General features: G+C 49.2%; 1 protein-coding gene across 8 annotated transcripts in view, besides 3 other annotated features; it reads right to left on the minus strand.

The window, feature by feature from the left end:
* The window catches only part of PLXNA4 (plexin A4), a 525,349-nt gene that overhangs the window by 66,296 nt on the left and 434,728 nt on the right, over positions 1 to 24,325 (minus strand). For 7 of the 8 annotated variants that reach the window (XR_927546.3, NM_001393897.1, NM_020911.2 and 4 more), the window contains 5 exons: positions 21,308 to 21,508; positions 13,688 to 13,784; positions 13,011 to 13,201; positions 8,850 to 9,001; positions 4,427 to 4,544 (listed from right to left, as the gene is read on the minus strand). Coding sequence is in view for 7 of the 8 variants with exons in the window: in NM_001393897.1 (NP_001380826.1) it covers positions 4,427 to 4,544; positions 8,850 to 9,001; positions 13,011 to 13,201; positions 13,688 to 13,784; positions 21,308 to 21,508 (759 nt within the window). In the remaining variant the exon portion in view is untranslated. The remainder of the gene's footprint in view (positions 1 to 4,426; positions 4,545 to 8,849; positions 9,002 to 13,010; positions 13,202 to 13,687; positions 13,785 to 21,307; positions 21,509 to 24,325) is intronic. The other variant, XM_017012779.1, reaches the window with a different exon arrangement.
* Positions 673 to 1,174: an enhancer, noted in NCBI's record as "H3K4me1 hESC enhancer chr7:131875067-131875568 (GRCh37/hg19 assembly coordinates)". NCBI's record gives its function as "activates a minimal SCP1, AML or CMV promoter by ChIP-STARR-seq in primed H9 embryonic stem cells {active_cell/tissue: H9 hESC(primed)}" and the evidence as "EXISTENCE:reporter gene assay evidence [ECO:0000049][PMID:30033119]".
* Positions 1,175 to 1,674: an enhancer, noted in NCBI's record as "H3K4me1 hESC enhancer chr7:131875569-131876068 (GRCh37/hg19 assembly coordinates)". NCBI's record gives its function as "activates a minimal SCP1, AML or CMV promoter by ChIP-STARR-seq in primed H9 embryonic stem cells {active_cell/tissue: H9 hESC(primed)}" and the evidence as "EXISTENCE:reporter gene assay evidence [ECO:0000049][PMID:30033119]".
* Positions 12,575 to 13,112: an enhancer, noted in NCBI's record as "H3K4me1 hESC enhancer chr7:131886969-131887506 (GRCh37/hg19 assembly coordinates)". NCBI's record gives its function as "activates a minimal SCP1, AML or CMV promoter by ChIP-STARR-seq in primed H9 embryonic stem cells {active_cell/tissue: H9 hESC(primed)}" and the evidence as "EXISTENCE:reporter gene assay evidence [ECO:0000049][PMID:30033119]".

Raw genomic sequence — 24,325 nt, forward strand, 5'->3', positions numbered from 1 at the left:
CTCCAGGGGAGCTAGGGGCTTCTGTGTAGGGCCCAAAGAGTGCACCTGCAAGCTGCCTGGTAGATGAGAAGGCCATGAGGGCTCGGAGACTCTGGAAAGTGTGATAGATGGGGGTTCTGTCCCTTCTCAACCCCCTGCGGAGACTCATGGGGACCTCTGTCCCTCACTCCCACCTGGAATCCCTAGAAACTCTGTGTGAGGGATGGGGGTGGGCCTCAATGACACAACCCTTAAATGCAAGGGGCCAGAGAAAGAGACTGGTGTCCCTAGCACTATCTCCTTCCTAAAGTCTTCCCAAGTGAACATGTGGCACCAGAGCCATTCCTCAAAGATGTCCCTTAAGTAGAAAAATGACAAATCTTTGAGCTTCAGGGACCTACCAGATCAATGCATATTTGCCTGTGGCAACCTCTGTCATCTGTCCTGACCTGCCTCTGCTTCAGTCTCTCCTGCTCACCACCCACCTTCTTCCTTCTCCCTCCTGTTCCCATCTTTTGGTGCACTAGACCTTATGCTGGGAACAGCCTCCCACCACTTCAGATCCACATGGAAAATTATATTCTATTTGTATTATACAAATTCCATCTTTGCCTCCAGCTTCTTCTAGGAAGTCTCCCTTAATACCCTAAATTCAATCACACCCCTCTCCAGGGTAGGAACAATCACACAGCCAAGACTGGACCCTTCCTGAGGGCAGATGAGACTTTCCAATGTGTAGCACACAGGCTCATTATAAGAATAAAAGCAGAGAGCTGAGTGCATTGGTACATGGGAGCTACTCAGGAAACATCCTTTCTCCTAGGTCAGGGGGCCTCAGCCCAGCTTGCATCTCAGAATTACCCAGGATCTGTAGCATTGGATTTAATTAGTCCTGGCAGGAGGCAGGGAGAGGTCCAGGGCATTTTGTTTAATGGTCACCCCACCCCAGGAGACTCTCCTGTGTCCGGAGGTTTAGCGCTGCCTATGCACTGTGGGGATCCCAAAGAAAAGAAAGTCCTGGGCTTCAGCTGATCTTTGATGGAGCCTCAGGGGTGGGGGCCTGGCTGCAAATGCAGAGCAGAGGCAGAGAGGCTTAAAGGAAGCATCAGCTTAATGAGGTGGCGGTGATTCTAGCCCTGTCCACTGTGTGCTCCAGGGTCCCTGCCAAGGACCACAGGATGGAAAATTGCTCTGGGCAGGTGGCAGGCCAAGGCAAGTGGCTCCCAAGACTGACTGGTTTGACGAGGAGCAGGGCACAAAGAGGAGCCACTGAGCGGTGTGATGCAGTCAGATGTCTGGAGTCCCAGTAAATGGGGTGGGGTGCAGGGCCTGTGGATATCCACAGCTCAGGCCTCTGCATTCGCAGACTGAGGACTGGGTCCCGAGCACAACTTTGACGAATAAGGAGGATATGGCTCGTGCAACCAAGAGAAGGAGATAGAGAAGATAAGGTGGCAGATCATGCAAAGGCTGGCAAAATAGGATTGAATGGGGAAGCAGACAGAGGAGCCTGGGCAATGTTTTACAGGGAGGGGGAGCCTTGGCTCTTCTTGAGGTGGCGGCTGACATGATGGTAGATGGATTACAACAGGTTCAGAGAGAAAAGCAAGGGAAAGATTTAAGGAGGCCGTTGTGATGGCAAACAGAATGGGAAAAGGAAGACTCTGGGACATGGTGATGGATTGATGTCAGGAATGAAGGGATGCTGAGCCACAGCCCAACAGGATTGTAGGCCTAGGGGATGGATCACTGATGGGAATAGGCAAGAGAGGAGGATGCACTCTTTATGGGAGCTGACAGCCTGGGTGGGCCAAGTGGAGATGAAAGTGAACAGCCAGGTGATGGTGGCCTTGATTGAGCCGCTGGAGTGAGGGGCCTGACTGGGGAAGCAGGGCAGAGGCAGCTAAGGTTCAAAAGAAGCATCAGCTTAGTAAGTTGGAGGTGGCTCTAGCCCTGTCCACTTTATCATTCAGGATCACTGCCAAGAACCTCAGGATGGAAAGCTGCTCTGGGCAGTGGCTGGCCAAGGAAGTCCAGTGCTTGCTTTGGCCATGCAGCAGTTTCCTCCCGTTTTACTTTGGCTGCCAGGAAATTTCAAAGCCAGATTTCTTGCCCAATTTTAGCAAATACCTGGCGAATGTCATCCCTCCTCTCTCCATCTCTCTCTCTCTCTCTCTCTCTGTCTCTATGTCTATATCATATACTATATATATATATATACACACACACACACACACATATATATGCATGCTTTATATACAAATATATATACATTTCTCATTAGTTGTCTTAATGTCTATTGGGTTCACCTTGGAAATTCCCTCATGCTTTCAGGAGAAGGTGGTGGGTACAAATCCTAAACAAATAAGGAAAATGACTCGTCCATGAACCCCATTATATGTGCGTATTCTTCTAATTTTATGAATTCCTATGTGCATTCTGTGACAGCCAACTGCATCCAGAGGGGGTTTGGCCCTCGGAGAGCAGAGGTGGAGCAGATGCAGGCCCAGTCATGGTGTGGCACGACACTCACGTTTCTCTAAGGTTTGGCCCTGACCATGTTCAAGTCTGTGTCAAGTACTTGAGCTCAGTTGCTTTCACCTCCCCTTCTAGACTGTAGGCCTCCTGAGGGAGGTGCTGTGTTGGGTCTTATTCATCATCCATTAACCCCCACAGCCAGAACCATCAAGTCATAAAATCCAACTCAATTAAACAAGCACTCATTAAATAATCTAGTGAGAGGCATTGTGCAAGGTGATCAATGGCTGTCAGTTGAAGAAGGAAGAAGGAGGAGGAGGAAGGCAGATGAGATAAAGGAGGGAGGGAGGAAGGAAGGAAGCAAAGAAAGAGGAAGAAAGGAAGGGAGGGAGAAAGGAAGCAAGGAAGGAAGGAAGGGAGAGAGGAAAGGAGGAGAGAGAGATGGAGGCGAGGGGTGGGGGTGCAGAAGGAGGAAAGAGGGAGACAGAGAGGAAGGAGAATGAAAGCCAAACTCCCCATGACATATTTCAGGGCACATGATGGCCAGGCATAAAATCCATCACTTCAGGCTTCCAGCTTCCAAAAGCAGCTCAGAATCATGAGGAAATTATACCATTACAGCTGTCATTAATCTGAGAGGTTTAGTTTTTAAAATGATGGGTGTGTGCGGCAGGGAATGTGTTTATGTCTCCACCATCTCCATAATCACAAGGCTGAGAGATTCCAAAAGCCTCTGTCCCCTAGAACTACTTGTCAGGCAGCCTTTGAAGGGATGAGAGGTTCCAGGCAGGAAGGAATTTAAGGACTGGGGAGAGATCCTCAGAAAGGCCATGGGATGGGGAAAGGGGTGGTAGGGTGAGAGGTGGGGGCAATTGTGTGGGTAGAGGGAAATGGATTGGGTATGCAGGTGAGAGGTGGGCAGGGGTTAATGAGGTCATGAAATAGGGATAATGGTGAGTGGGTGCTATGGTTTGAGTGCATCTTCCAAAGTCATGTCTTGAAAGCTTAATCCCCAATTTAACAGTGTTGAGATGTTGGACTTTTAAGAGGTGATTAGTTTATAAGGGCTCTGCCCTCATGAATGGATTAATGTTACTATCATAGGAAGATGTTTATTATCAAAGAGTGGGTTTGTTATGAAAGGCAGTTCCACCCTCTCCCGCTCTTGCTCTCTTGCACACAGTCTCCTGACTTTTCGCTTTCTGCCACGAGGTGACGCAGCAAGAAGGCACTTGCCAGATGTAGCCCCTAGATCTTGGACTTCCCAGCCTCCAGAACAAGGAGTCAAATAAATGACTCTTCTTTATCAATTACCCAGTCTCAGGCATTCTTCTACAGCAGCAGTAAACAGACTAAGACACTGGGGTGAAGGAGTAGTGTGAGGGAGATAGGATGGCATAATGGGCCACAAGTGTGCAGGGACAGGCCAGAAAATGGAAGCAATGGTGGCAACCACAGAAATAATAAAACAAATGATACTAGAAGTCATAAATACATTGATGTAATTTTCCACAAGATCATGGGGTTGATACTATTATTATCCTCATTTTATAAATGAAGAAACTGAGGCAAAAACAAAATGTTGAGCAACTTGCCCACATTTACCCAGTTAGCAAGTGGAAGAGCCAGGTATCAAATCCCAGGAGTTGCCTTGTGAAGTCCAAGCTCTTGCCTACCTACCATGCCACACTGCCATGCACCCACCTGGGGACTCTGGGCCCTGAGAGCTAAAGCAACTTACCTGAAACCACACAGCCAGGCACAGAAAAGTCTGGATTTGAATCCAGGTCTTCCAGACTTCAAAGGCTGTGCTCTCACTCACTATAAGACAGGAGTCTCATGAACTGAGGGAGGTTGCAGGGCAGGCCCTTGCCCTGGGTTTGCTCACAGAGCTCTAGAGGGGCCCAGCAATCATGGTAATGAGCTCTGTGGCCTGCACCCAGCCAGATCACTGCTGGCCAAGACTCACCATGAAGTAATAGAGCTGTGAGGACCGGGCCATGAATTCAGGCCGACACACAGCCACGCAGATCTCCACGAAGCCTGCATGCTGGCTGGGCTTGGCCTCCCCCATCTCACACACGATCCTGCAGGGAGGATAGGAGAAATCCCATGGGTCACAGGACTTCCAGCCAAGACCCTGCACCCCACAGCACCTACCCAGGTCCCTTTCTCCACAGTAGGATCTCAGGGATGGCCAGGTAGGGGAGGAAGGGGAAGATATCCTAATTCCTCCTAGCAGGGGCTTCTCCTTAATTGTCAGGCAATGACGAAAACTGACCTATGGGATCTCCTTTGAGGGAGCCTAGAAGAGGGTCCCTGTGTTCTGACCCTAGATGTTCAGTCCCTAATTCATTATTATCTACTCAGTTGTCAACTAGACTGGAGGGCATGTTCTAGCCAAAACCCTTAGGGAATAGGGCTGGCAGAGTCCAGAGAGGCAAAGCCACTTACCCAAGGGCTGCAGCAAGTCAAACCAGAACTTGGAACAGACCTAAGGTTTTCTGGTCCCCACCTGGGAGCTTTCTGCTCCCGATGATTGGGTTGCCTCAGTGAAGTGCTTTTGCTTCCCAGCCAGCCTCCAGGCTGGGTGAGGGGATAATTGAGTGTGTGTGTGTATGTGTGTGTATGCGTGTGTGAACTTTTTCCTTTCTAAAAATTTTTATTGCTTTGATTACAAAATTTGTTTATACCCTTTGAAAATAATCAAACAGTCAAACAGTACAGAGTATGGCAGTAAAAAGTGAGTGCCCCATTCTTCTTAAAACTTAAAACTATATATACACTTAAAAGTTAAGTGTGTGTATATGTATGTATCTTTGCAGACATAATATATAAATATATATGTGTATATATATCTATGTATATATGTATATGTATTCTTCATTTTACAAATGAAGAAACTGGGGCAAAGAAAAGTTAGGCAACTTGCCCAATACATATATTTGCATACATATACACATATATACGTACACACATATGTATATTTATATTTGTATTTCATATGCAGGCACACATGAACATAAATGTGTTTTTACATATATACAATTACACTTATAAACATGCATACGTAAGGAAAGATATATGTGTTTTTTTAAAATAAAAGCAAAACATAACATATCCACTGCTATAAACACTTCTGTTTTTTGCTCAGCACAATAGCATGGACCTTCCTTCCTGTCTCTGTAGACACGGCTCGACTTTTTTCTTTTCAGCAGCCTCACAGTATTTCATCTGATGATTGCACTATCATTTACACAACCATCTTCCTATTGATGAACGTTTAGTTGTCCTGATTTTTCTGCTACTCCAAATAATTCTGCAAAATGAACCAACTGACACACACATCCTTAGGCATTGTATAGTAGGATAGATTTCTAAGGAAGGAACCTGTTGGGTCGGTTTGTGTATTTAATATTTGGTAGGTAGAGCCAAATAATGTTCCAAGAAGTCTGGACCATGCACTTCTATTGATGGCCCACTCTTTTGCCAACACCAGATATGAACAATCCTTTTAAGGTTTTTCCAATATAATGGGGGAAAAAATCTCATTTTTATTTTTATTTTGCAAATTACAGGTGAGGTTTCATAAATTTTCACATGGGTGTGTTTTTAAGATCTCATATAGCCTTTCCTTTGACTTTTCTGTTGAAGCCCTCTTTCTTGCTGATAGATTGTCTGAATTAGGAGTATTAATTTTGTCTGTTATAAATATTGCAATGATTTTCTCCACGCTTGTCATCTTTCAACTGTGGTTCCAATGTCTTTTGCCACACTAAAGTTTAAAAGTATCTGTGTGTTTAAGTTGGTTGTTCTTTAACTTTACGGCTTCTATGTTTTATGTTTCTCTTAGAAACAACTTTTGAGTAAGGTTCCTGAACAAATAATAACTTTCTATCCAGATCACATAATTAATGCATGTTTGGTGTTTGAAACAAAATAGAAAGTACATAAAAGCACTTGTCATACTGAAACCCCCACTAGTTGCACCATTCAGAATGTAATTTTCCATAAGACCATGGGGTAGATGCCATTATTATCCTCATTTTATAAATGAAGAAACTGAGACAAATAAAATGTTGAGCAACTTGCTTACATTCACCCAGTAAGTAAGTGGCAGAGCCAGGGCTCTAGTCCCAGGAATCTCCTTGTGAAGTCCAAGCTCTTGCCTACCTACCATGCCACGCTGCCTTGCACCCATGTGTAATATCCAGTGTCAACATTTTGGTGTTTCTGTGGCCAGTCTTGCTTTTCTTTTACAAAACTGATTCAAAACTCTATATTATGCTTTGTAACCTGTGTTCCAAGAACCTGTGTTCTCACTTAATATACCTTGAGTATATGTCTGGTCATGATTCTTCTATAATATCAGATTTAATGGCTGTGTAGTTTTCTTTCCAGTGCTTATACAATAATTTATTGAACTGAGGAATTCCCTATTTTTACACATGTAAATCACTTCTGAGTTTTTACTATTATAAATAAGGCTGAAATAAACATTCTTGAAAATAAATATTTGTGAATTCTGGTTATTTAGGGAAAGTTCTAGATGTGTGATGGCCAGGCTAAAGGCTTCTAACCCACATTTCCAAATTTCCTTCTAGAAAGTTTGTCCCAATTTCCCCTTACACCATGAGTGAAGGAGTCAGCTACTTCTCATGACTCTCTCCTGCACCAGGCATTAACTTTCACAAACCACTCCCTATTGTTTTAATTTGCATTTAATTGATTACTACTGCTGTTAAACATTTATTTTTCGTATGACTTTCGGTTCTTTTTTATCTCATAAATTGTACGTTCATGCTCTTTGATCATTTTGTGATCTTTGCCTTTTATTTATAAAAGCTCTTTATATATTAAGAAAAAGTATTTATTAACTGTAATAGGGTATAACCATACTCCCAGTTTATCATTCACATTTTTATTTTGCTTGCAATGATTTTTGATGCACAAGTTTTAAGGTTTTATGTACTCAAATCCCCTAATCTTTTTCTTTATAATTTCCTCTGTTGCTGTTATACTTCGCACAAGTTCCCCTTCTTGAAATTGAATAAATTTCCACCTGCATTTTCTTCTAATCCTTTCACAGTTTCATTTTTTTTAAACTTAACTCTTTAATCCATCTGGAATTTATTTTGGTGTGTAATGTGGAATAAGGATCTGCTATTGTACTTTTTCCAGGGAGTTAACCAGCATCAATTATTGAATGGTATTTCCTTGGGTGATTTGAAATATCACCTCTATTACATACTAAATTTGTATGCATTAGCATTCTTTTTCTGGGTCCTCTATCTTACTTTACTGATCTAACTGGTATCACAATATTTTAATCATGTGGCTTTATAATAATACTTTTGATATCTGGCTATGTAAATCCAAAGTAGGATATTTTAAAATTCTCCAAATCACAATATATTAGCAGTGGCCTAGTTTGGTTTCGTTCTAGAAAGGTGTCAGAAAGTTGAAAGAGCCATAGAAAGATCTTTTGGTAACTAAGTGGTGATGGACCAGAGAGGTGAGTCCTACCAAGACTGGATCCTTAAACCATCTGATCTGCTGTGAGCATCTTGGGGAGATCTCATGGAAATCAGGAGGAATTGAGGATGGCTGTACTGATGGTTCAGAATTAGTAAATCTAGGCAAGACCCAGCAAGCAGAAATGGAAACTGCACTCACATACCTAGGGGAAGACTTGCGAAGAGTCAATAACTTATGCATACAGCACAAGTGACAAGATTTCACTCCAGGAAGTGCAACAAAGATGGTATGGAATATAGATTCTATGATGCTGGTAAACATTTCATAGTTGTGTTTGCTGGGCTGGAAAATGGTGCTTACTTATTTACAAGGCCATGCATGATTCACAAACCTCCTCTACTAGGTGGGTTACAGGTCAAGGTCTTTTGCTGAATGACCCATTCAGTGGGCCAGCAGACTTTCAAAGAGAAAAATAATCTAAGGCACCCACAAGCCTCAGAGTGGGTGTGAATTTCATTGTCAGTCTCCACAGAGAGTAGCACAGGATCAGTGCTGGGGGGGATGTGAGCGGGAAGTTGAGGACAGCAGAAGGAATTGGATTTACACTTCTCTTGCAGATTTTCATTTTGTTTTGTCTCCCCTCCATGCGGCCTTATGCCCCAAGTAGGTAACAGTCACCTTTCTCTCTCAGCTATTTCTCCTTTCCCTCTCTACACTTTCCCCAATATGGCAGCTAGCTAACTGAGCAGGCGGGGAGTTGTGGGAGTCCACCCTCCAACTCTAAAATATTGGGGTGGTTCTCCTTTTTCCCCCACAACAAGCTCTGAGAGCACCTAGTTGCTGACCAGGACATCCCTAATACTAACCCGTCTTCCCTCCCCTGTTCCTCCTGTGTTGCATGCAGCTTCACTTACTGTTCTGCAGGGATGTAACCATCCACTAAAGGGCTGCACTCCACGCCAGCAACCTTGACATGGGAGGCGATGTCGCGAAATTCCAGGCCCAGGTTCTCCCCTCGGATAGTGACCTTGGTGCCCCCTTCCCGGGGGCCTGTCACCGGGATTATCTGGAGGGAGGAAGAGAAATAATTAGACAAACACCAAGATACTGCCACTCACTTGCTGATGAGGCAAGGAGAGGCTGCTGGCTCTTGTCTCATCTGCCCCAGAGTCCCTGAGTGGCTTGAAGTCACCAAGGGCACCCAAAGCCTGCGGTAATCAATGGGTAGTAGCTTCTAGGAAAGCAGTCCATGTTTGTGTGTGTCACTAGGAGCAGTATGCAAAGCCCATGGTACATCTTTCCATTTCATAGAAGAGATGAGAGGATGGAACATGACCAGCAATGCTACCGGGTGATTCGTAGAAAATTGGGATTCATGCCTTCTAGCATTTGCTTGTGTTGGTTCTACTCTCAAGGAAAATAAAAACCCCTCCTATCCATTCAGAGCCCCCTACACCTATGTGACCCTACCCACCTCTCAAGATCCTTCTCAAATGACACTGCCCCATAACCCTGTGTTCTTCTTCTCTCTCCATTTAAATTCCAAGGTACCTTCTTTGTGCCACTTACATGGCAACAATTCTTTGTGCCTGTTCTTCATCCTTCCCACTCCCAGCCCCCTCCTCCTCCGATCCTGAGTCTCTGAGAGCAGGTCTGTCTCCCTCCTTGTGGGCTTTTCAGTAACCATCTTTATGTCTTGCGTTGTCATGTGATAAAACCTACAACTGTCCAAACATCTTTCCGGAATTACTATGAGCATTTGTCACAACTCCTTTGCCGTTGTTGTTTGGCCTGGTACCACATAGATTTAGGTTTAATTTAAATTTTACCCTCGTACACAGGTCAAAGTGTACTGGCTTTCCCTCCTAAATCAGTGTCAAAAACCCATGATTAAAATGTGAGGACTCAGCATCCAAGTGCCTGCTTTGAGGTGAGGGCTGTACAGTTAACACAATCTCATCCTGGCGTTTCATGGACCAGAGAAGGGCATGCTTCCATTCCTGGTGCCTATGAGCACCAGCACCTGGACCTTAGCCAATGTCAGCAGGATTAGAATGGAAGGAGCCCAGAGAGTCCATCTCTACCCCTTTTCAGCATATCCAACTCTCCTCAACCCTGCAGGGCCACAAGTGGGAATTCCATCCTGGGGTAAGGGTGAAAGATGGGGGAAGCAGAAGGAACTAGGCTGTGCTGCCCTCCCCACCAAGTGGCAGCTTCTCCAGGTGAGACTGCTTACCTGCCACAGTCAAGCTACCTCCCACCTCCTACACATCCCCGTGAGGGTTGGTGTGATTGTGAGTGAGCGTGTGCAGGGGTGTGAGCCTGTGCATAAGTATATTCCCATTGCAGTGGAAAAACAGCTTCCCTGGAGACACAGGCCCATTTCTATGAGAGGGAGGTGGACAGATGTGGGGAAGGTCAGAGGGAGAGTCTGTGTTCTTCCCAAATGCCTGCCTAGCCAGTCCCCAAAGTGCCACTGGCATCTGGCAGCAGTGTCTCCATGATATTCTAGCCCTGGCTTGTCATACTGAAAAAGGAGTTTTATCTCTGGCCCACTCCTTCGTTTCCCAGGTTCCCCTAGGGCCAACACCAGTATGGAGGCAGTAAATAGCCTTTGTCACAGGGAGATATGTTTAATTTGCCGTCTCCTCCCTGTGATTTTCTTGGACATAGGCCAAGAAGAAAGCAAGTCCCACTGATGGCACCAGACACACTGCCATGCGCAGCAGCCCCCTGGGTTGGTTTCTTGTTGAGGGCTCTGGGAGGAGCCGTTCCACAGAGCAGGTGTGAAGGTGAGCGGTGGGGACTGGGAAGGGAGGACATGGGCCCAGGTATGGGGTCAGGGGCAGTGAGGAGAGAAGAGGTCCACCTGTCCTCCTATTCCAGATCATTCTGTAGGTTAATTCTGCAAATATTTCCTCCAAGTCTGAGAATCACTGTTTAGATTCCTACCATGCAAAAGACTGAAGTGGGGACTGAGAGAAACTCTCAGAGCCTGTATAGCCAGGAATGTGGAAGATAAAGGGTCTGAAGCATGGGGCACATGTTGAGGGCCACCCCAAGGGGCTGCTTTGCTGGGTGAGGCCCACAAAAGCCCACACACAAATGTGTAGGAGGCCCACAAAAGCCAAGAATCTTCTTGCTTTCACACATCCCTGGTGCACGTGCACAATTTGTGAGTGGGGGTATGAAGTCTCACCATTGTAGTGGAGGAGAACAATAACCTAGGAGAACATTACTCAGGAGATCTGGGATTCAGGACCATGTTACTGACACTTTGGTTAGAGTATGTGTGCCTCTCTGAGCATTAGCCTCTGTCTGGAAGAGAATAATAACCTGATGATAACCCTGGCCTTGGGAGACATTATGGGTTTGAATTGTGTTTCCATCAAAGTCACAGGGTGAAGTTCTAACCCCAGTGTCTCAGAATGTGTCCTTATTTGAAGACAGGGTCTTTGGAGAGGCAATCAAATTTGAAGGAGACCATTAGGATGGGCTTTGGTACAATATGATCTAATGAAAAAGAAATTTGGCCACAGAGGAATGCACAAAGAGAAGATGATGGGAAGCTACACAGGGAGAAGATGGCCATCTCCGAGTCAAGGAGAGGGATGGGGAACAGATGCTTCCCTCACAGCCCTCAGGAGGAACCGACCCTGCCAACACCTTGATCTTGACCGTCTACCTCCTGAACGGCAGGACGATCCATTTCTGTCGTGCAAGCTGCCTAGTCTGCAGTACCTTGTGACGGCAGCCCTGGGACCCTAATAGAACAGGTAGTTGTTTGGACTGACAAGGTAAGGGGTGTAAAGGTGTGGTGCAACTATTAGGCATCACACAAATATATGGCCTATGACTGTGCCTGCCACTGTTAAGTGATCATATACTGTGTGCATTTGTGAAACTGTGCACAAAGCCCGGTACCAGTTCGTCCTCACTGTTCACTGAGGCAGAGACTGAGTCTCTGTCTTCTCTCCTTCTCCCTCTTCCTGCTGCTTCATAATCCTGACCAGCATCCGCAGTGGTAAAGAGGTATTGAGCACCTACTGTGTGCTCAGCCCTGAGCTGGAGGCACAGATGCCATGGTGCCACAGATGACATGGTGCCATGGGGGAGGAGCATGTGGAGAGAGAGATGCAGCCCTCTTTTTTATTTTAAGAGGGAGCAAGGGACTCCAGCCTTGCTGGAAGAGTGCAGGAGTGGGAGGAGAAGAGACAGGACTACTTAAATGAACTCCAGGGGCAGTGATTTCCTTGGCTTAGACATCCCTGGGAATGATTTTACCAATGATGATGAGTGAGGAGGCTGGTGAGATCCCCATGAGCTGGGCCCAGAGCAAGGTACCTTGCCTGTAGGTGCGTGTGAAATCCTTCCAGCTCCCATGTGAGAGGGACGCTCAGGCCCACCGCACATGTGAGGAAGGTGAGGTGTGGAGATACTGGTGATTTAGCCCCAAGGTACTCAGCAAACAGCTGGTGGAGCCTGGATTCAAACCCTATTCTCTGGGACCCAGTGTCTGCGTGTTTGGCTCTTCACCGTGTTCCTCCCCCAGGTCTTTGCTCCATGGCCTGTGTCCCTTTGGTCCCCCTAAACTGTGCTCCATCTTACAGCTCAGGGCTTGCTTTGGGGGAGTTCAAAGACCTCTCTGTTGTGACCTTCTTCACCTCCCCAGAGCCAGGCTGTGCCCCAACACCCATGCCACCTCCAATCACGGGTTGACACTTGGTGAGGATGCCAAAGGTGGAACTTCAGGCCTTGCCACCGAGGCTCTTAGAGACAAAGGAAGGGGCTGGCGAGGACTGAGTCCTTTTTGACACAGCTCCTCAGAGACTCCAACAGGACAGTTGGGCCCCTCATTGAGGATAGTCGAGCCCCAAAAAGAGTCTCTGATCCAAGCCTAAGCTTCTGGGGAAGCCGTGAAGAAAAACTAGGGTGCCATCCAGCCAGGCAGAGCAACCAAGTCCACCCAGTGACTACTGGGTGACCGACACCACGGCTGGGCAGAGTTTCCACAGGGTGTGGCACAGCAGCCTGGAGCCTGCCCATTTGGAGCAGGAGGCCCGACCCCGGCTTACCTCTGTGATGCGGGGGTTTGTGCACTTGCTTTTGGCACCAGACAGCTCCAGCCACTGGCTCTCCTGGGCAGGGCAGTGCTGGCGCAGGGTGCACTGGCCTGGGCCCTGGCACCAGCCACATGCGAAGTCTGGGTCAGCCTTGAGGCACAGCCCGCAGCTCTCACGCATGGCTCCACACTTGTAGAGGTGAACTGCAGAGGGGAAGGGCAAGGACAAGGGGTGCTTGGGAATGGCAGTGGGGACAGAAGGGGCCCAGAGAGAGACAAAGAGTGCAGTGCCAGCCTGGGGTGATGGGGCACAAAGGCAGTTTTGCCCCCTTAGCCATTCTGATGCAAAAAAGAACCTGAAAGAAAGTCCAGGCCTGAGCAGAGGGACTGAAATGGGAAGCTCTGGGGTTCTCCGTTCACTCAGCACTCAGCAGCCCTTCCCAGGAAGTCCTCTGCACACCACCTCCTACCAGAAGCCCTCAGCCCAGGTCAAGCTCTACAGAGCCCATGCTCAAGAAGTAACCTAGAAGCACAGATGGTGGAGAGGCTGTGAAGGAGGGGCTCAGAGGGAGAGGGACAGCCACTAGGAGGCGGGGGCAGAATGACTCCCGCGAGAATGCAGGACGGCTCCTTCCCTCTCTACCCCATCCCTTCCCCTCCCTCCCCTGCTAGGCCCCAGCCCTTCCACACCTTTATTCTGAGCTGGGTTGTCAATGTTGAAGTGCCCATTCCACACGACTGTCAACTCCACGGGCAGGTTGTTGATCTCCATCCCTTCATAGGAATACTGCAGCCAGGTCGGGGAGGAGGAAAGAAGAAAGTGGGGTCACAGAGAGTTCTAGAGAGGGCCCAAATGATCAGCCTACGGCCGTTAAGAGCTCACAGGCTAAAGACTGGCCAAGACTGTGCTTGTGTGCATGTGTCTACCTGTGTGCATACAAGTATGCACATGCACATGTGTGTACAGGCAGGGAAGTGCATATCAGAGGGGGTGGAAGATAACACAGGGGTGGGCCAGGCCTCCAAGCATGCCCCTGTGGATGCCAGCTCAAGGAGCAGATGGGAGCAAGCCACTAGGTCATCTCCTGTGGGTCTCAGGCAGGAGGCCTGCTCCCATCCCCTGGAATTTCCTGAGAGGTAAAACCGAGGGAGGAGTCCACTTCCTCTCTGGCTGCCCAGGGAAACCCTGGTCCCTAGGCCCTCCCAAGTCTGCAATTAGATTGGGGAACTCTAATTTCCAGGAAATGTCCAGGGTAGGTGGATGCTTTACCAAAGACCTGGGGAGGGGTGATCACTTCCCAGGCAGGGCGGTGGTTGCAGAGACTAAGAAATGAAGGAGCTACACCCTAGGGGGATGAGAGGCTGGGGGTTAAGAGAGAAGAGGACTAGATGGGAGCTTGTTGGTGACGGGGGAAATCCTGAGGACCTTGGAGGACAAATCTGGAAATCTGGGCCTGGATGCTGCAGACAGTCACCAGCTCAAAGCCAGGCTCACGCCCAGATTCCTGTTGTGCTCCTGTCCTCGGAGGGCTCCTCAGGGTCCTGCTCCCCTACCTGGCTGAGAGATAGGAGGTGGAGGGTGGAGAGAAGAGGGAGGTGCTGGCTTGAAGATGATGGTGGAGGGGGCAGTCCCCAGGCATGATGGCCCCTAGTCTGCCTTCCCATAGCAGACCCCTCTCAGTCTCCAGAGAAAGAGGGTTAGCAGAGGGAACTTAGAGCCCACCCTGGGCAGCAATTTCCAACCCCTACCTGGTGATTTTCTCATTATTCCAGCCGACTCTGCTCGCCACAAGGGGCAGGATGGAAGAATGGAATTGAGACAGATTTTCTGCATGGGAGGGGCTGAGGCCTGGCAATTTGTTGAACGAAGTTAGTCCAGAGGACCAGGTTTGAAGCTGTGTTTGCAGGACCTACAGGCTGTTTTAATTCAAATTTAATTTGAATTAAAAATTTGGAGGGCTGGGCTAGGGGGATGTTGATGGATATCACAGGAGGCCACTGAGGCTCCGTCCTCCAAGTTGGCCATGGCACCTTCATGGACAGGGAGGGTGGCCACAGGACATGGGAAAACACATCTGGGAAGAATCTCAGAGGGCTACTGCCTCTGGGCAGGGACAGGTCTGCACCCTATTTGTAGGAGCTTCTAAAGGAGATGTTCTAATCTTCGATGCAGAAAATTGCCCTAAATTCCTGAGTTACGGAATGTGCTCCCATGAGAACAGACTGTGACTTGACATTGCCCTCATACAGCAACCACGGGGGGATGTACCTCCAGCCACTCCTGGCTCTGCCCTAGCATCCAGAGTTCTAACTTCCTCCCTGGCAACGCGTGCCAGGGCCAGAGAGCTAGGTTCGGTGTTTGTCCCACAACGGAGGAGTTTGCAACGTACCCCCGTCGTTGAATCTCTCGTTTGACCAATGGCACCCGGGCCAAGGCCAGGGTCCGAGCTCACAGAGTAAAGCAAAGTTTCCTAGCCCTGCAGAAACCACAGTGGAAACTTTGATCATCATAGAACTCAATCATCACCTCCCCAGAGGTTGTCTCTGCAGCTGGGTCAGGCTGGGTGGTCCTAAGTTGTCCTGAAAACCTCTTCCACTTTAGACTGGTGGCTCTTAGAGTGGTCTATGGATTCCTTCAGCAGAATCACCCGGGGGGCCTACTAAAATGCAGATTCCAGGGCCCATCCCAGATCTGCCGGACTGGAATCTCTAAAGATGAGGAGCATTTTGAGAGCTACTCTGTGATTCCGGTGCTGGTTAAAGTTAGAGAATCCCTGCAGTCTATTAGAAGTAGGGAGGCAGATGACTGCCCCAGTGGAGGGAGAAGGGTATAAGAGAGGGATGCCCTCCTTCCTTGTGTGTGTTTGTGTGTTTGTGTGTGTGTGAGAGAGAGAGAGAGAGAGAACTTCCAGGCTTCCAGTTCCCTCCTCCAGCCACATTCAATTTCTTCCCATCCTTCCCATCTCTCTCCTTGAAAGTCCCAGTGGGGAAAGGTGATCTCACCAGGCTTCAAGCTGCTGCCTGGATGGCTCTGAGCAGGGCTGGCTGTTTCACCCCAAGCTGAGCACCATCTGATCACCTAGAGGCAGTGCTGGGGCAGGCTGAGCTCTGACCTGTAGGAGGGATGCTGACAGTGGCTATGTCAAGATGGGAGCCTGGCTTCTGCTCTCAGGCCTAGGTCTGGCCAAGACACAAAGTAGAAGCAGCAGGTGGTGACCAGGAGTGTTAGTCAAAAATCAATAAATCCTCATGCCCCCTCTCAGGAAGGACCTGACATCCCACAGAAAGGAAGGCAAAGAATCCTACATACATATGCATGTGAGCATCTGTGTACTCAAACGTGTTTATGTGCATGCTGACTTGAGGAGACGTTAGCACACATCTCCATGTTATCTGTATGTCCATAAGTGCACACACACGCATAGACACACAGACACACACAGTTCCACAAAGTGGTTCTGCCAGTGACCAGCTGTGTGAAATGAGCAGATAATCCAAGTCTTAGTTTCCCCATTGGTAAAGTGGGAATTCAAAGCAGTACACATCTCCTTGGATTGGCATAAGGATTCAAGATCATGCACAGCATGCTCCGAGCATAGTATCTGTCATATAGTCTAAGCGCTCAAATGTGATTGCGTATTTTAGTCTATGTGCATGCAGTTGGGGATGCTATGCAAAACTATATTCGTGTTGCCTATGTTTATGTTTGTGCAGAAAAATAATAGCAGCCATGCATTGAGTGTTTCTGTGCCAGACCCTTAATATGTATGGGGATGTATACATATGAGAACGCTTATGTTTTCTGGTGTGTGTGTGTGTGTGTGTGTGTGTGTGTGTGTGCGCATGTGTGCAAGCATAAATTTTCTCTTTGAAGAAATTGAAAATAAAAAAGACATTAGGATCACATGTGCTGGGCATTTCTTTCTCTTTCTCTCCCCCAATCCTGGGATCTAATGACTATTAGAGAAATCGTTAACCCCATGTGCTCCCCCTCAGCCCCGCTCTGTCTCTAGGGAAGTTTCCATTGTTCCTGGAGGCTCTCTCTCCTGTGGATGACCTGCAACGTGCCTGGGGCAGGGTAGGGGAAAGGGGTGGGCATGGCAGATGGAGCCTCTCTGCCTCTGCAGACAGCTGGGAGCCTGGACCACGGGCTCCCGTCCCCCAGGATCGCCCTATCTCCACTCCACTTAGCATTTATATAGCTCTCTGTAATCAGCAGGCAGTTAATCTGCACAAAGCTCAGAGCCCAGGGAGGACAGGCTCCAGGCTCCTGGAGGCCGGGAGGTTAAGTGTCTCAATCAAGGTCTGGCACACCATGCGGGGCTAATGGATGACTTTCCCCATTACCTTGGGAAAGTGTGAACCTCAGCTTCTACTTCTAAAGCAAAAATGAGACCTCGATATAACTGAGACATTCTTTCCTCCAGCCAGTCCCTTGTCCCAAGATCTGAGATATTTTGCCGGAAAGTTCTGCCATTTGGGCAAACAAATCTCAACAACCTAATGCCACACAAGAAGCTGGTATGTACACTGTGTCCATCTCTAGTCCAGAGGGCTCTGCTGACCCCTTTTCAGCCATGTCCCAGTAAAGTAGAAAGGGGACAAGTTCTCTTCCTATTGCTTCCCTATCCCTGTTTTGCACGTGGTAAATGACGGTGCCAAGAGAAAACCAGAGGCCAGCATGAGTCCGCGGAAGCTGGGCCTGGCCCCGGCCCTCACGACCAGCACTTCAGCCAGCCAGATGCCCTTTGCAGCCCCCTCACTGGCATGATTGGCAGCCTCCGAGAGCTGGTGGCCACGCACTATTATTAGCAGCACTTGACATTTTCCTAGAGCATTGGTCTAAAGTAGGCCATGAATACCCACAGTTGCTTCCCCTCCACTGCTGCCTGTGAGTCTGCCCTGTCCTCCTCCCACCAGCTCCTGGGGGCTGCAGCCATTGGCTCAAGGCCTGTCCCCGCATAATGGGGTTGGAAATGGCTCCACCACCCCAACCCAGTGTCACTCCCACACTGAATTTTCTTCTTTTTTCTCTGCTCTCCTTTGAGACCAATTTATCACCCACCTCCTTCTGCCATCACAAACTCATGGATTTCTTTGTTAGATCCCTTGTCCAAGGCTGTTTCCAATTGTTCATGGATTTAGGAAATGAAAAAATTTGTCCTTCCACACAATCCTCTTTGAGGCTGATCAGACTGTACTCCCAGGAATAACACCAAAGCTGGGGTAGAAAGTGCCCTTCGCTGCTGTTCTTTGCTCAACCTTTGATTAGGGGATGTGTTATGAAACTGGATTCAAGTTCTGAATTTGTGCCTTACTTGCTGTGTGATCTGGAGATGGTCACTTGCCCTCTCTGGGCCTTGGAGACCTCATCTGTAACAGGATTAAGTAGATACCCTCTCAGGTCTATTCTTGTCTGATGGTACCCTGTTTTCTGTAACTATGGTGGGGGTGGGTTGCCCCGATCATGACCCCAAAGATATTTGATGGAAATTGCTTGATGGTAAGAAGCAACCTGACCCAGACCAGCATTTAAACTGGGATTCCACTGCCCCCCATGAAAAGAGAGGCTCCCAGGAAATGTCAGAGCTGAGCCCTCCTGAACCATGTGATTCCAGTGTGTCCTAGTAAGCAAAGGGCTGCATTCTACTGTCTGAGGGGCACACCTTCTGTTGCCTCAGTTTCTTTCTTAGACTTTAAAATGGTAGAGAAATCACCTCTCCTACAACTAATGGTGTCAAAATTAAAAAGTCATGGAGGCAAAGTCAGCTGAGCTGCTTTGGAAGCAGTGACCTGGGGGGCACCCAGACCTGGCCCATGGTGGATGGAGAGGCTGCAGCTCTGAACTCCAGAGGGCCAGAGCGCAGCAGGAGCCCTCCTCAGGTCCTGAGTTGGGGGCAGGGCATGAGCCAGGAGCTTCAACATCAGGTTCTCTTCTTGGTGAAGGGAGCCGCAGCTTCCAGGCCTCCAGCTCCAATGCCAACAGGGGCTGGAAGTAGAAATGACCACTGTGTCCTGGGACATCAGGCTTCCAGATGTGAAATTCCCAGGGGAGGAGCTATGTCACTTGCTGATTTCTTGAGGTCCAAGGATTCAACACCCGACAGACAGACTGTGCGCACACTGGAGCCCAGCCGTTCCCTTCCTTTTCCCATGGGTGCCGACCATGGTGCCAGCTCCAGGTACCCCATGGGGACACCATGAAGGAGGAGACAGCACCCACCTGCCTGGTGCTGCGGAGACCCTGTTTGTGCTCTTGTTCCCAGGAGGCTCTGATTTCACACCCACGTTCGGGGAGTTCCCTGTGATGGCTAAGGACTCATTTGGTCAGGCAGCTCTCGGCCTGGGAAATGCTGAGGACATTTCAACACAATCTACTTCCAATTCTGGCAGTCAATAGAATGGCAGAGGGTCCCAGCGAGCTTCTTGGAAGCTAAAGTTAGTCCCCAGGGCACAAGGGATCTTCTGACCAAGAGGTTTAGAAGACTAACTCATGCTGTTGTCTGGAGTATCTTTGTCTATTAACGGAGTCAACCAAAGGCCAGGCCATGGGGCCCAGTTTTATGACACTAGTGTCCCTCTCTTGGGCACAGCCATCTGAGGCCCACAGGCTCTATCCACCCTCCTGACATCCCCAGATCCTTGGGTCAGCTTCTCTCAAGAAACAAGGCTGTTTTCCCCACAGCTTCAGATCCTCACCAGCCTTCTGCAGAGTCAAATGTGAGACCCAGATGCAGGTCTCTTTCTATAGGGAGGGTCTTGTTTTGGAGAGAATGACTTGAGCCAAACCCTTGGGGCTGATCTGCTTGAACTCAGAATTTATGGGGAAACAGGAGGTGTTTCATATCTCCTTTGCTTGCAGGTTTAATCTGGAGTGCTGCAGAAATCTGAGAAATAGCCTGGCAGCCAGGGGAGGAGGGGGATGGGCACACAGGATGCCATGGGGACAACTTCTGGGGTTTCAGAGGTTGTGAGAGCAGTGACCAGTTCTATCCCTGTAATGCTGAGTGACCTAGGGCAAGTGTGTGGGCCTCTCTGAGCTCCATTTCCCCCTGGACTACTTCCTGCAGGAAGAGTAGAGTGTCCCACGAAATCCTTTGTCTGGGACTCTCCTGGTCGCACATCACATCTCCAAATACAGACATTGCACATAAGTGCCCAGGTGCAACTAGAAGAATACATAGGAAGCAGTGTGACATAGGAGGGGTCCTCAAATCCAGACCACCTCTGCCACTCACTAGTTGTGTGACCTTGAGCAAGTCACTTACCTTCTGGCACATTTTGGGGTGCATTACACCAAAGTGAATAGAGCTCAGCTTCTGGGCCTACACTTGCACACTCAGCCCCTTCTAAGGCCTATGTATCTAAGTTGTACTTATTATATTTTGGTCTTAAAGAAGGTCTCCAAATGGTATGTCTCACCCCACAAATCTAGATCTGCCCCTGCTTCCAGGCCTCTACTTTCTCTTTTGTGCAGTGAAGAAAAACTTTAAAGTTCCTATGACTTGAAAATGTTCTGAATCTATGTGTCTAGTGTTTGTCTCTGAGCATCTGGGCACAAAGAAGGGAGCCCAGAAAGAAAGAGAGAGACCAGAGCAGTAGCTGGAAAGGCAACATGGCAGGTGCGAAGGGAAGTCAGGAAAGGTGATACACAGGTGGGGTTCACTGTGGGGTACCTAGGAATTAGGTAGACAGCTGTCGGCAGCCTGGGGGCTGCTGACTACTCATTGATAGGGCTTGGGCTTAATGTGGATTTGCCACACATTGGGCAGGGTTTGCGCTGATCTAAGCAGCGCTCTCCTAGCCAGCTCCTTCCCATTTGTTATTTCCTCCTGCCAATGCTTGGTCTGTCTCAGAAGCCTTCTCTGCTGAGAAACAGCCTCTATGTAGGTGTGAAGGTGGTGGGATGTCTTTGGGGCTTGTTGAGAAGGCAGGGCGCAGGGCTTTCAGAGCTTCTCAGGAAAGAGGATGGACATGAAGGTACCTGGAGCCCAGCGTCTGCCCATAAACAGGGCTCACAGCTCCACGGCTGGTCCAATATCCCTTCTAATCCTGTCTTACACGGACAACCTTCATCACAAAACATTTACAACTAGGGCCAGGCCCTGGGTGACCTCAGAACCCAGCACGCTGCTGGGGCAGGTGTTGTGGGGCTGGGATGTGCCAGCAGGCATGGGGGAAGCAGGTAGGCAGTTTTGTGCGTGTTGAGGAAACGACTGCAGGGCTGAGCTGATTTGGCTCCTAGAAGACAACAGTGATGTGGGTGGGACTGGGGCCTGGTTTGGCAGTGGGCAGGGTTGGGCGACTCACAGAGGTGTTCTGGCACTGTACGCTGGAGCTGTTGAAGCGCAGGGCGGGCACTCGCTGCTCGCTGCCCTGAATGTTGAGGATGCATTCGTAGCCACGCTGCCCAGACTGGGGCTGGGGGAGGTTCTTGGCCTTCAGCGTGATAGGCTTGATCACCTCCACGGGCACCAGGATCTTGTCCACTCGCAGCAGCTGGGGGCAGTCCTGGGGACAGAGGGCATGGCTCAGGCTGGGCAGCCAGGAAACCAAATGAGCAAGGACCTCTGCAGACATAACCCGGATGTTCCCTGTCTCCACCCTTCCATGGACACACCCACAGGCGACCCCTGAGGTGCTCGTGCCCACCCAGTGGGCAATGCACTGAGGACAGAAATGAAACTGAGGAATCCGAAGTCCTAGTGTCATATCTTGAGGTGGTCCCCACCCTCTTTGGGTTCCATGAAAACCTTCCCTATGCAATCTGGATTCTCTGACACTCCTGTAGCCTCCTCCTGGCACCCTTCTACCCTAGTAGAGACTGCCTCTGCGGGCTAGGCCTCCCCTCCCACTGGGGACTGATGATTTCTTTGCCTGCTAAGTTCCAGGCTGTCAAGAATTGGGATGCACAGACCATGTGAGAAGCTCCGCAGAGAGGCAAAGCCCTGGGCCCTGTTCTGCCCCTGGAATGTGAGTCTTGACTGCCGCAGGGAGGCTGGGAGGGCCTTCCCTAAATGGGCTGAATCTGATGTTTGAGAATGTTCTGGAATGGGCCCCAGAGGCCTCATAAATCCAGAAAGCTTCTGACCAAGCTCTAGGATGTCCTGGCCCCAAAGAAATGCCTCTCAGAGTAGAAACACTCTGAGCTCTTTCTGGATGCTAGCAATGGGCACACTTAGCCCTGGAGCCACAGGAGCCCAGATGGCCTTTGGGATGGAGACAGTGAATCACTGGGCCCCTTTTTCCTGGGGCTATCAGCTTTGTCCAGGGAGGGCTGGGGACATAAGGAGGTCAGAAGAAGGAGGGTGGGTGCTCTGCCCAGTTGAGTGGTAGGAGCTGGTGTGTTGCTGTATTCTCAGGAGCTGTGTGGAGGAGAGTCAGTATTCTAGCTCTTGCTGATGGATGTGGGCAGGCGTGAAGCCTTCCATAACACAAGCATGGCCTGGGCATCCCCTGTGCCAGGCAGGTCCCACCATCCCCCAGATTCCTCCATCTGTGGCACTGTCTGGGGCATGCCAAGACAGATGGCTCCTGGGCAGGTTGATCATCAAAAGCATGACGCACGTGTTCTTTCTGATGGTGCTTTGTCATGGGCTCACCACCAACTCTCAGCAGAGGCTTCTCACCCCGCACCTTAACACTTGTCCTCAGCAGAGTAAGGCAGAAAGGAAGCCACTGGGAAATGGTGGAAGGGAGGGGTTCTAGGCAGTTAGGCAACTGGCAGCTGTCCCTCCCAGGTCCCAGAGCAAACATGAGCCAAATATCTCCCTGTGCCATTGCGAGTTACACCATAACAAGACTTAGGCTCAGAGGGAGAAGGCTTGAACTAACTCTAGTACCCGTGAGCTGCTGATGAGCTCTGGAACTCTGAGCACATCACAGCCCATTTGAAACTCAATTTCCTTATCTATCAGTTGAGTGGGACTCCAAGGCCCTAACCATCTTAACTCATCATGATTCCATGATTTGGAGTGGTTGTTCTCTCCATCCTTTCTGATCATCCAACCAGAAAAGAGGAGGGAAAGAGAGGCAGGGGAAATGGAAGCAAGAAAGGGAGAGAGAAAGCTATAAGGGAAGCTAGGAGACAGAGAGGAAGCTGGAGGAGCAAGACCATGGTCCACAGATGGACCAGCAGTGGAGCCTTGTTTCATGGGAGTGCCCCAGGCCCATTAAACTAATCCCTCCTCCCACACCCCTACAGGCTGCTCACACCTTTATCCTGAAGGGCAGCTGAAAGAGGAGCCGCAGATCCAGAAATTCCACTCCTGGGTTTACGTGCCCAGAGGAACTGAAAACAAGGACTCAGAAATCTGCACACCCATGTTCACAACAGCATCATTCACAACAGCCAAAAGGTAGAAGCAACCCAGGTGTTCACTGAGGAATGAATGGGTAAACAAAATGTGGCCTATTCATACAATGGAATATTACTCAGCCTTAAAAAGGGAGGAAACTCTGCTATAACATGGATGAACCTTGGGGACATTATGCTCAGTGAAATAAGCCAGCCACAAAATGGCAAATACTGCAGGGTTCCACTTGTGGGAGGTCCCTTGAGCAGTCAAATTCATAGAGACAGAAAGTAGAATGGTGATGTCTAAGGGGAGGCAGGATGGGTAGTTGTTTGATGGGAACAGAGCCTCAGTTGGGGATGGTGGTGACAGCTGTACAACAATGTGAAATGTACTTAACGCCACTGAACTATATCCTTAAAACCGGTTCAGATGGTAAATGTTATGATATGTGTATTTTGCCACAATTATAAAACAATGAAGAGGAGCAGCAGGCAGGCGGGCCAGCAGGAAGAGAACAGGGGCCTTGGTCTTGGCCTTCACCTTGCATGTGGTCTGAGGCTCTACAGTGTGTGGGTCTCTGGAGACGCCAGTAGCCACTTGGGGAGAGTCTTAGCAGCTCCATCCTGTGCCCCCCACCACAGCCGCTACTCTAGCAAGGTGGGAATGTGGCACACAGAGGAAAGAAGCGATTTGTGAAAATGATGGAGCTCAGAACTGGGGCGGGAGGAGAGTGATGTTGGCAGCTCGAGGAGAGCAGATCCTTGAGAATGGGGTTGCTGTGAGTCCAGGCTCCACTAGACTCCACCCTCCCTCTGCCTGAGCCCTGGGCAGCTTTCCCTCCCCTGAAGCAGCAAGGAGCCTGACTGTCTCTCCTGCCACAGTCCCTGGAGGGAATCAGATCTGGTCGCACTGGGAGTGAGAGCCAGGAGGCCCTGGAATCTCTTCCCACCACCTCCCGCCATCCACATGTTGCCACTGAGAAATGAGGCCCTGAGGGTATGGGAATCTCAGAATCCTCTGACTACCCTCA

This window comes from Homo sapiens, chromosome 7 (assembly GCF_000001405.40).
Source record: "Homo sapiens chromosome 7, GRCh38.p14 Primary Assembly".
NCBI classification, from domain to species: domain Eukaryota; kingdom Metazoa; phylum Chordata; class Mammalia; order Primates; family Hominidae; genus Homo; species Homo sapiens.